This window comes from Homo sapiens, chromosome 15 (genome assembly GCF_000001405.40).
Source record: "Homo sapiens chromosome 15, GRCh38.p14 Primary Assembly".
In the NCBI taxonomy this organism is placed as follows: domain Eukaryota; kingdom Metazoa; phylum Chordata; class Mammalia; order Primates; family Hominidae; genus Homo; species Homo sapiens.
In genome coordinates, this window is record NC_000015.10 from 39,173,538 (window position 1) to 39,186,370 (window position 12,833).

General features: G+C 38.9%; 2 long non-coding RNA genes across 3 annotated transcripts in view; one reads left to right on the forward strand and one right to left on the reverse strand.

Moving 5' to 3' along the window:
• The window catches only part of LOC105370777 (uncharacterized), a 556,255-nt gene that overhangs the window by 308,732 nt on the left and 234,690 nt on the right, over window positions 1-12,833 (reverse strand). The window lies entirely within an intron of this gene.
• Window positions 58-6,492, forward strand: LOC105370780 (uncharacterized). Of its 2 annotated transcripts, none has more exons than XR_007064591.1 (3): window positions 58-142; window positions 3,216-3,396; window positions 6,280-6,492. It is a non-coding gene; the product is annotated as an uncharacterized LOC105370780 (long non-coding RNA). The 2 variants fall into 2 exon arrangements; XR_007064590.1 differs by lacking the exon at window positions 6,280-6,492 and adding an exon at window positions 4,846-5,050.

The window sequence follows — 12,833 nt, forward strand, 5'->3', positions numbered from 1 at the left end:
AGGGCCTGACTCATATGAAGCATTCTGTTAACCATCATCACCATCACCACTACCACCACCACCACCATCATCATCATCATGATCATCATCATCATCAATTTATCCTCAATCAGAAGGTCATGGAAGCAGATTCAGAAAATGGGTAGGCATTAAGGGAGGATAAGCAGCAGGATTAATAGCAAAGTTTACGCTGCAGAAACAGCCTGATTAGAATGCTGTCCCTGGCACCACTGCCACGGCCTATGGTAGACACCACTGCCATCTCAGCTAGTCAGTCACCTCTATGGTCACTACTGAACACTGCTATAGTGAAATCAATTATCAATTCAGTTTTTCTCTACTTGCTCCAAATTCGAAATCTAATATGGAAGCAAATAATTGCCAAACCCCAGTTCACCTGTCTGAGACCTTTATGTCAGGGTTGAACAGAAATTGCATCTCATCCATTCTGTTTTCTGTACTGGGAAGTTGTGTTCTGTCTCCTATAAAGGCTCACATAATAGGGGATTCTTCCATTGCAGGGCAGACAATACCAACAACCCCAAATTCAACATTGGCAAATGTCCATACACAAAGAAAAGTGCGTAATAATGGTATGACACTAGGGCCACAGTGGTCACTACTTCTTGGGGAAGTCAGGAGCTCTCTCCTAAGCCTTTCTTCTAGGGCCTGCCTGGCTCAATGGATGACACTTCATGCATTCAGTTGCACAAGCTAGAATCCCAGGTATCATCCCTGACACCTGTCTCTCCCTTACGCCACATAGCCAATCCATCACGCACCATCCTTTCAATTTCACTGCCTGAAGTCACTTAAATCCACCTCTTTCCTTCTACTTCCTAATCCAAACAACCACTTCTGTGCAGTTAGACTATTACAATAACCTCATCACAGATCTCCCTGCCTTGTATCTGACCTCTCTCTACTCTGTTCTCCTACAACAACCACAGTTATCTTTTCAAAATGCAAATCTGAGAATCCATTAACCTTTCAGTTTAATGGTTTCGTAAGTCTCAGGTTAAAGACAAACTCATTAACATGCTCACATGGTCTTGCCTGCTTTGGTTTCTACTCTAAATTCAAATGTCCTGTGCTCTCACTCACTGCACACCAGACACAGTGCTCTTCCTACTGCCCCTATTCTACACATGCTCCCTCTTGCTACAAAGCCTTGTCCCACCTAGGGCACTTTCCTCCCCTCTTTTCCTGTTTATCCCTATTGTTAGTTGGTGGTCAGATCAAGTGTTACTTCTTCAGGTGAGCCTTCCCTGACCCTGGAAAATCTTCTTATTCCAGATTCTCAAAGCATCCTGAAACTTTTCTACACAAACATTCATCACAATTGTGCCACTTATCGTTTATTATTTATATAACACATGAAAGCAAGGACCATGTCTAACCATTGCCTAGCAAATCCCATTTGTTGAGGGAATTAATGAATGAAAATATAGCTTCTTATTGGAGGTTAAATTTATCATTGATTTTGAGGCCTGATTGAGTTTGTTGCATGGAGAAGAGGAGTAAAAGCATTTCAAGAATAGAAATAGGGGATTCAAAAGTCCCCAGATATGCAAGGAAAGGGTGTATTTGGAGAAAGTTTAGCATGGCTGTTGTACAGAGTGAGTGGAGATGGATGAGAGGGAGAAGGAAAGCAGCATATAAGGCTAGTGAGGGTTGGGACTAATTGCACAGGACTTTGAATGTGTGATAAGGTGTTGAGATGCACTTTTCTTTGTGTTTATGGAGATAATCTGTATGCCTGAGCAGAGGAAAGTCATAATCAGAAATGCAGAATGAGAGTTGAGGCAAAGACGTATGTTTGTTATTTAAAATTTTAAATACCAAGTTAACAAATATATCTACTTCCACAGCAAAGTTTTGGTCATTGATTATAGAATTAAAGGAGGTTTACATTTCAAAATGCCTAAAATAATGTTGAAATACCTGTTTCTAATAAGTGCAATCTTAACTATCAGATTTTTTATTCCCTGCCTCCAATAATTGTCCCCCAAATAATTGCTATTTATATTCTAGTGAACAGATGTCAAGTGACCAGCTGAAAAAAATTAGTTGCATATAACATGATCAATCAATAGAATGCCTCTAATTTCAGTTCAATACAAGTGTTTCCTATTAGGTTGATGATAATAGCTGTCGTAAGATTTGGTACGACATAGTTCTTAAAATAAAACGGCTCTTCTCAAATGTTTTGGTCTCAGGGCCCTGTACATGCTAAAAGATTACTGAGGACTTCAAAGAACTTTTGTGTATGTGGGTTATGTCTGTGGCTTTTTATCATACCAAAAACTAAGGCTTAAATTTTAAAAATATTATTTATTTAAAAATAATAAACCCATTATATGTCAACAGAGCTAATATATTTTGTGAAGATAGTTATATTTTCTAAAACAAAAAAATCTAATTAGAAGATAACTAGATTCTCATATCAGTTTCTGTATTTAATCTGTTATGATCTGCTTTTTTGGTTGGAAAAGGGAGGAAGGTTTTAATGCCTTTCTCAGATAATCATGACACTGCAATCTGACAAGCAGTAGTTCTTGAGTATTAGTTGCAATATGGAATATGAAACCATGTCAGTGAAGCTTTCACACTCCGTTACACTAAAACTCATTGGTCTGTTTTACACTTTGAACAGAGATTTTACCCCTACAGGATTGTGTAACACCATAAATTGATCATTTGGAAAACGCTTGTTCACTCTTTTTTGCATGTCGCCAACATTTTGACAAATTTCATTATACCATATCAAAAAACCACAGTCATTATTATTGCCACTAACCTTACCAGAACAAATTTAAATACTGCAAAGCTGTCAAGCTATTGGTGACAGATGTAAGTTCTAAAACATAATTTTACTTGAAAGTTTAAATTCTGTCATTGGCAACAAATTCCATTCTGTTGAAGTGACAGGCTGACTTTGTTAATTTTAAGAAAATATCCTTGAAAGACCCAAGTCAGAATAGCTATCATTTGTCATTCTTTTAATGAAAATGGTGTTCCATGGAAAAAATATCTAGTTTGACTTGGAACTCAAATAAGTACACACTTTTTTTTAGACAACCGTGATACTTGAACCTACAGCACAAGTGTATGTTTATGTGTCACTTCCCATTTTGTCACACAGAATAGTAAAACAGGCGTTCTCAAAGGTCAAAATTTAACAAAATTTATCATTTTTTTTCCTGCTTCATCAGGTCATCTTTAAGTAAAAGCCATCTGATATTTTACTGCAAGCATGTGGCAGTGAAGACGACAATGACTGCTAGTATGGTTTGTGCCACTGCCTTGATTTCCGCTCAGGCACCAGCAGTCTTACCCACCATTGCTTTGGTGCAGTTGGTGGAGATATCAATGGATCAAAAGCGCAAGTAATATGTGAGTATTATTATGAAAGGAGCTTGGACCTCATGAACCACTTAGAAAGATATTGGTACATCCAGGGATCTGTGGATGACACTTTGAGTACCATTGAAATAGGAATTAATCCCTAGATTAAAATGAAATAATGGGGCTCAGTCCACAGTCTAACCCAATTTATAATTTGACTATGTTCAAAAAAGTTTACCTTCACATATTTTTGTTACTTTAAGAGCAATGTGCTGTCACTAAAGAAAATGATGACGTCAATTTTTTTTTTTTTAAAAAAAGCATTTTTGTTACTCATCACTTTGGGCCATTGCAAAGGCTGCCTATTGCTAGACAAGAAAGAAGTCATTTACCCCACATCTATGGTTGTTGTCATCAAATGATCCATTTAGTGACTCTCTCAGCAATCAATGGCAGTTAATCACAATGAGTGAGCAATTTTGGAAAGCTGTGCCAAGTGTCATTTTGATAACCAGCTTTTCAGAAGACCAGAGCTGAACAGGAGAGTAATGGGGGAATACAGGTATTCCCACATCAATTGGAGAAGTAATAATTCCAGCAACAACACTATTGTCAACATGGTATTTTCTCTAGTGATTCACTTCGTAACATGTGTTTATCCTTCCAGAGCAGGGAAGTATACACCTATGCCCTTTCAAACTGACATGTATAGAAGTCAGATTTAGGCTTTTCAAGAGAATTGCCCGGCCCATGCTGAAAGCTATAGTAGAAAGTCAGCTGACTCATCCAGAGCATTTTTTAACTCACCAACAAGCAGAGGCAGGAGCAGAGCGTGTCAAAGGCCATTTGAGAGCAGTTATGCCAACTGGGCAGGCACAAGCCATGCCAATTTTTGTGGTTTCTCCAATTCGTGTCAGAACAAGGACTTGACTCTCAGTTTCCCACACTGGGAGGGTTTCTCTGAGTTATGCCCATTGAATGAGTGTAACAAGGTGATCTGATTCATCCTTGGTCACGAAGCAGGGAAAGAAAGAGTATTTTTCTATTTCAATGGTTAAGGGCATAAAAACCATGCATTGGTCCCATATCAGTAGATAATCAATGGTAAAGCATAAGTATGCAGCCTTGGTGTAGAGAGTGGCACTTGCTACTCATTCTTATGTTTTCAGAGTCATCGTACTTGTCTTTATGTTTGAGCTTGTAGATGTGCTGCCATGAGGAATTAACGTTAGATTCTTGAGCACTTTCTTTCACCTATTTCTCAGTGTAGCTGCAACGCTCTGTTTACTGTGCTAGGTATGTCCTAGAAAGTCAAATGATTCAGTCAAACCAGCACCATCAGAGTCAGTGTGATCTTCCTAAGACACATCTGATCATAAAGCCCCAAACCTACAAATAAAGGGGAGGGGGCCTGCTGGCTAGCCTGGCATAGATCCCATAATCAGGGCCTTATTGACCTCTTTCATTGCATCTCCTTCACTTCCTCATTTGCCACAGGTTTCAGATACATGGATGTGTCTGCAAGATGCTAGATGCCTCCTGGAACACATTTGCCTGGTGGCAGGAGCCAAGTCCTGGCAGAAGTCAGGAAGCAGGTCTAACGGGCATCAGCGGAGAAACTAGGAATGCTAACCATTGTCTCTTTCTCTTTCAGAGCTGTCTCTCTTCATTTCCAAAATTAAAAGATTTTTACTTCCCCCCACCTCATTTATACATTTCGCTGGTCATTGTAGGCCTTCTCATGATATAAAAAACAATGACCATTACCTCATTGGTAAATAGGTAGATCAAAGTCTTTATGTATAGCTACGTATCTAATTTTTTTCCTTAATTATCTCAATACCAAAATCAAGACAAGTTGTGGGTTGGGTAGGCACAGGAGGATGGGAGTGGGCTTGCCTTCCAGGCAGCCTGACAAGCCTTGCCGAGGTCAGGTTGCTTTGCCATCAGAGTCCATCTTCTGACTTCAGGCATGTCAGGTCTTTGGCAGTCTCTCCTCTCTGGCTTCCCCTCAGTTAATCCCCTCCTGGCCAAGCTTGTCAGGTGGGCCCTATTTGGGTCCAAAGAAGCACTAAATAAATGTCGATTGAGGCAGCTTATCCTAATGATGGCAATTATGACAGTGATGTTTTTCTTTTAAGCCATAAAAGCACTAGATGTTACAGATGGAAGGGATTTTCAATAATTTTTTGGAGGAAGAAACTGAGCCCCTGAGAGGCAAAGTATATAGTTTGATTGCAAGTTCTCCCTAGTAGGAGAGGCCAGGAATCAACCAAAAGAGCAAGAAAAGAAGCCACTACAGTAATGAGCTTCGGCTGCCTGCACCTCTTCCAGCCACAAAGGAAAAAAAAATGAGAAAGCTGCCTCTATTCTACTTCTTTTCAAAGCTGCCCAACTGTTAATATTTTAGTAAGTAAGAAGCAGTGTCTAAATTCTCATTCAAGTTCTCCCATCCATTGAGTTAATAATCTAAATTATAAGAATATTTATTTTTCACAGGATTAAGTAAACTTTTACTTAATGTAAAAACATGGCTCATAAACATTTGTATTCTTCCCAAACTAATCCATATGCCAACATGCTTATCTTTCTTCCCTGGGGTAGGAAACCAGGAGACTTTATGAAAATATATGAATACAGGCACATGGGTATGTTTTTTCCATGTGGTAGCTCAAATATGGTTCTTCCACCTCAATCTCAAGCTCTCCAGACTGCAGACATCTTATCTACACATCAAACTAGCATTTATTTTACCAAGGGCATTGCTTCCCCTTTTCTATCCCTTATTTCAACAGACAGGAGAAGAATATCCAGATAAAGGTCTCCAGGCAAACACACTAGAGAACCTGTAAAAGACTCTGAGGATGTTTGACGCCTTGAGTCTCTACACTGATGCCATCATCTTACTTCCTAATCTCTGATCTTTTCCAGGACTCGGCTCCCTATGCCCAGTAAATATAAATTTTCAGAACTGTGATCACAGCCCTGGCTAAATAGTGCCCCTGGTCAAACCTTCGTAGGCAAAATGTTTTCTCCAGCTTTCTGCTAGTTCTTAGAAGCCAGTGTGAAGGAAAAGGGATGTCATGAAGCATCACTCTCCAAGCTGATCATCTATTCCATTGCCTTGAGAATTATGTAGAATAAAATCACTGTCTCCCTAAATGATAAAAGTCTAAGACTTTGTCCCAAAGTTGGGTGTTCTCTGAGGAATTGCTGGAGACACTATTGCCCCCTGTGGCTAGGTAAGCTTTCCAGACACAATCCAAGGGAAGGAAATGCCTTTGGTGAAGGAGGAGAGACTCCTACGTGGCATGGGGACCAGCAGCTGAGAGTGGTTGTATGGGTAATTCACACCAAAAGCACTCCAAATGCTACTTTCATCTAAATGGACTATAAGGGTTGTCATCAGGCCAGGGAGATGTAGATATTTCAAATCTGAATTTCACAGTATTAGCATTACATCAAGCCAAAAAGATTAAGAAAGTAAATGACTGTAATTTGTCTAAAGCAGAATGTTTGCTAAAACCAGGCAGGTCTCTAAAAAAAAAAAAAAAGAGACAGCAGTTGAAATTATTTTGTAAATGTTAATTGTATAATTTACATTAAACTCTTTCCTATGTATTATAGCCTTTGAGATATGCTATTTAGTCTTAAGAGAACTGGTTACCTCATTTGGAATGACTCAATACAAAGATCTTAAATATTTAACCCTGATCTTGGTATAAATGTAAAACAGCTGGTTTCTTTTTAAGAAATTTTGACTTTTATTAAGCAAAACAATTCTGAGAGTGCATTTTCTGACAAATTCATATGATTAACCTCAACATTCTGTTTACAATATATAATCACACAGGAAAAAATGCATAAAAGCAGGATAACTTACTTAATTCACAAATTCTTTGTTATTTCCCATAGAGTGTTATTTCCCAGAGTTTCACATCTGGAAAAGCTCATGCAATTAAACAGTATGTCCAAGAACAGATCATCTGAAGGAATTCCAAATATATGCTTTTTTTTTTTGGCATTGCATTGCTGGTTTTATCTAATGGAGAGCATTTGAACACAATAAGTCAAGGGAAAAATTTTTAAAAAGACTCTGTGTTATAGTGTCCTAGGACATGAAGGGACACCCTAAGTCTGCTGGGGGTTGTCCTGTGCCTCAAGGTAAGACTGTACCAAAACAATTCCAGAGAATTCACTGTCTTAAATATTTAGGAAAGGAGCTCTATGCTGCCATTGATCCTGTGTCCTCATTATTTATTTGCAGCCATGAAGGCTTCCTTTGTTCATAATCTATATCCTTCCTCTTAAGCCCATTTTTTTTCCTCTCTCTCTCTCTGAGAACAAGGCCACCAGACAAAGTCACAGCCCCAGCAGGCTCCTGCTGCTCTCCAAATTCTTACAACTGCACAATGGTCACTGCAGAGAAAACTCAACTCATTGCTGTGTGGGAGGTCAGAATTAAAATGGCAATAGTTGAGAAGGGAGGAGAAGAGTAAAAATAAAGAAGAAAATAGGCGTTCTTCAGCCACAGAAAACATTTTATGACAATGCTACAGCACAAAATTAGCTAACACATTGCAAGACTTGATTACATGACATTGGAGGAATTATTCCATTTGGCATTTTACTCCCAGCCTTTTCAAGAGAGCTGTATTAAAATCTGGCAGAGGGGAGGGGAGGGGCTGTGTCTGCTTTGCAGCAGGGATTAGAATGATGTATGACAGGAGTTTATGATGCTGCCTCTCAGGTTTTTCTGACCTCCCTATCTAAATAGGTTCCTGCCTTCCCCCACCATTGATATTAACCATCATAGCATTATGCTTATTTTCTGCTTAGCATTTATTACAATCTGTAATTAATTTTTTAAAAATCGGTTTGTTGTCCCATCTTCACACCAAAATATTGTTCCAGGAAGGCAATAACCCTACTTGTTAATCATTTTTATACCTGTATCACAGGCAGCACCTACATAAATAGGATAAAAGAATAAGTGTGTAAACAAATGCTATCCCCAGAACCCAGACCTCCTTGACTCCATTGCCTTAGAAGACTTTATTTCCTGCCCACCCATCCCTCTGTAGCAGGAGCCTCATGAATCATATTTGTCTGCATTGCCTTTATTAATGGATAACTATGGACAGAGTTCTCCTTGCAGTTCTCCTCTGTGTGAGCATAGCCAGCCAACACCCTACAGTTAAAGCTTGCAGTTGTTTGGTGTTTAACTTTGAGCACATCGATGGACTCAAGTTTCTATTTGCAAAGTCAGACCACAGAAATTAAGTTAATTGAGACATGATGGCAAAAGAATTTCCCTTTGGGGATGAGTTTATAAGCTTCTCCAGTCTTTTGGGATGATTGGCACATCTTTTCTGCCTAATCCTTTCCCCGTACAAAAATGAAGGAAAAATGATCTGCTATGGAAGAAAGAAACAAAGGACTGTGCAGACATTTGATTATCTTTTAAAGTGAGAGATGAACTAAAAACCATGTAATGGCCTCTTTAAGTGAATGGTAGAGAGGAAAAAAAGCTAAAGTTGAAACTAGCAAATCTTTTCTTCAGAAAAGCAAGCTGAAACTTTGGTTGAGTAAATAAAACCTGCTATAGCTTATATTAGAAAAGCACATAGGGAGAGTAACCAAAATAAAATTTGCATCTAAGAGTTATCCATTAGTTAGAGGTTTGTATTTATCATTTTCAGGCTTTGAGTTATATGGTGCTTGTGTATTTTCAAATCTTTATTTGCAAATTGCAGTGCATATGGTGTAGTGGGGAGAACAGTGGGCCTAGCACATAGAGGGGCCCCAAAAAATCTCAGGTAAAAGAATAAAAGTCAAGTAACAAGAAGATTGTCCAAGTATCACTTATGTATAACCTTGGAAAAATGATGTAACCTCTCAGAGCCTCAAAATCCCATTTTGTAAGATGCTGTCTGCCCAACTCAAGAGGGTTATATAAAACCCAAATGACATAATGCATATTAAAAATATATATATTATAAAGCCAAATTAAATGTGAAGTATAATAGTAATATTTTGTAACAGAATTATGAAACTCACTAAGTTCTTATTTAATAAATATCTATTATATATACTATATGTGATTTTTTGTTTTCCTGACTTTTGATATTCTGCAGTTTAAAAAGATGGATACACTTCACTGTAAAATTTTAAATGGAAAAAATGTTTTAAAAAATTGAAATTCCTTTACCTGATCCCCATTCCAAATACATTCTCAGAGACAAATCCAGTTGACAGTTTGATATATAATCTTACTGATCTCTTATAGCAGGTATGCCATATAAGTTGTATATATTATTTTTACAAAAATGCAATTACACTATACATATTGCTCTGCATTTCTCAGTAAACAATATCTGATAGATACCCTTTGATCTCAGCACATATAGATCTGCCTCATTGTTTTTAATGGCTTCATAATATTTCATAATGCCATTATTTCTCAATAATTCACAGCAGATGACTAACAGCAAAATTGATTGCATCATTTTAAATAGGTTAATGGTGTGGCTAAAGAATCATTACTTTTTCAACAGAAATGCCATTTTCATGATTGGCATTTCTAAATCCTTCAGCGTCAGAGAAGATTCTAGAACTTCTCATTTGTGGCTAGTTTCAGGGTAGAACAGCTCTTCTTCCTTGTGTCTCACCTGAATATCTGCTGTTCAGATATTGTAAGACTGTTTACAAAATATGATTTGGCAGAGTTTCCTGGATAATGTTTTGGGCAGAACAATCAGTCCTGGTTCCACCTGTTATGATGTTAGGAAAAAGTCATTAAACTTCTCAGTATTGTGCCTTTTTCTTCTTACACAACAGTGTTCCAGAGCTGCTCTTAACCCCTTCATGGGATTAGTGTGAGACTCAAGGAAGTCATGGAGGTGAAAGCCACTGGGCACCTAGAGAGATGCTACAAGGATCCAAGAGGCCATCTTGATTCCACAGTTAAGAATGCCTTGGGAGCTATTTGTCCCCATCCTCTCTCTGTGAGCGCACATTTAATCGCTTTGGAAACCCTATAAGACAGGCATTGGTATCTCCAGGTTTTGTAGATGAGAAAGTGAAGCTTCGGGAAATTAAGAAGACTACCTAAAACCCTATTCGTCTTAAATGGCAGTGGAGGGCTTTAATCCCGAATCTACCAGCTCCACATTCTGTGTTTATTCAACTAAGGAAACCAAGTCTCCAATGGTCACAGAATCAAGGTGGCTTTCATCTGGCAGTGGTTTCAGGTGAAGTTCCTGGAATCTTACTCTTGGCTGATGGCAGTGCTTCCTGTCCATGGCTTACATCGAGCCCAGAGTATATTTCTCAGTGTGAAATGTGTTCAGGGTCTTCAGGAGGAATAAGCTGGGTACTTACAAGTTTTTATCACATTATGGCCATTCTCATTCACATTAGAGTTAGGGTGGCCCAGCATATGAATTTGAGGGGTTCTGTGGAGCTTTCGTTTCTCAAGTGGGCTTTGCCAAGCACAATGAAGAGGGCAATGTCCTATTGCCAAAGTGTACCCTTCTGGGGCTACATAAGCCTGATGAAAAGTCATGAAGCAATGTGTGGAGCTGCATGGTGGAATGAGAGGCAGTGTTTTGCATTAATTGAGAAGAAGCTATTTCTTTAACTCCCCTCCAAAAACACCTGTCATTGAAGACATTTTCTAGGTTTCACAAGGCAAAGAGATTCCCTAGACATTTTCTAGGTTTCACAAGGCAAAGAGATTCCCGAGAGACAATCTGGTTGTTTGAGTGCCCACCACAGGCCTGTTAACAAGGGAAATAAAGGGTCTTCCTTGCCAGGCATGCTGATGCTGTGAGCTTCTTAACTGAGTCCAGTTGTTCTGTAAAATTCTGAGAAGGGTTGTGAAAAGGGTGATTACTCAGGTCTCACTTCCCTGAGGTGAGGAGGACACATACTGACAATAGCCCAAGAGGATTCTAGCACAAAAAATCCAAAAAGGGCAAGCAATGACCCTGGTTATTCCTGCTGATGACGCCTCACACAGAGGACTCACTCTGAGTAACAGCAATAAAATTGACAATAGAATTTTACTGTCACAATGTGAGAGTTGCCTTTATAGATCATTTTATTATTTGTTCATTTTCAGAAAAAATAGATTGGGCCAACTTCTGAAAACAATATTACTATTTTTCCTAGATGCACTCCAAATTTAGGGTTGCCAGGCTGTCAACTGACCTGCAGCCTTTGACACAGTGAGCATGGAGCAGTGGGACCCAGATTAGTGATGCCTGCTTGTGGCTGTCAGGGCCTGTCATCGTGGGTGGTTAGGCTTCCAAGCCTCCCAGGCAATCCGTGAGACATGGACTTACCTCAAACCACCCACGCTTGTCTGGCTCCTGCAGGTTGGCATGCTTTGACAGCCACTGGGTGCCTGGGCCACCAGGAAGTCCTGCTGCTGCTCTGCCACTGGCACTGCCTCTCCCCATCCTCATCTACATCCATAGAGATGGAAGTGATTTGCATGGGAATCCCACCCTGTTCATCCTCTAAATTCATGTGCATTCTCAGGAGCTAAACAAGCAAAGGACTGTGTTCTCACCTGTATCATTTGTTCATGTAACAAAGATGTTTAGAAGACTGTTGATTATCACCCCCTCCAGTCATCATTCTCACACTAATCCTAGCAGTTGGTGATCTGGAGAACGTTCTCAATCTTCTTGAGTTTTACATTTCCATCCTCGAAAGAGGAAAGTGCCTCACAATGTTGTTCTGAGGTTTATGTAATTCTCTGAAAGTGTTTATAAAGTTTAACAACATAAGTTGTTTTTTAGTGGTACTAACAACCAACTAGTATTGGATTTGCCCCATCCATCCAATATTGTATTTACACAAAGTAGAGATTTTACCAAAGAGAGTTATGCAAATCTCTGCTCTATTTGCTGTATCTTTGGGGAGATCTGGCTTTCAAAATATCAAAACAGGAGAATATTGCTTCCAACCACTGATTCCTCTGGCAGACTTTTCACCTAGAGGGAACGATCTGTCCAGATCAGTTTAAGCTGACTTGGAGCTTTTTCTCACCTTCTCTTAGATTCCATCTCTGTGAGAAAGAACCATTGATGGGCCAAGCTGTGTGTGCTCAGTTGAGAATGTTGATTCCCAATACTTACACTTCACCCCCATGAAACTCAACCCTCGGGGATATTCTCCCAATGTATCAGCGAACAATTCTGGATGGAATAAGTCAGCATGTTTTGGTCCTCTTTCTTTTAAACCTACCTTAATGATCTGAACCCTTTTTATGAGCTATCTACTTAACAGTCATGATAGTAGGTTAAAAATAATCTTAATGAAAAAGAAGATATTTTATTGTCACAATGTAAAATTTGCCTTTGTAAATCTTTATCTATTCATTTTCAGAAAGAATAGATTGGACCAATTTCTAAAGCCAAAAGTATTATTTTTCCTAGATGCATCCCAAATTTAATTGATGTAAATTGATATCC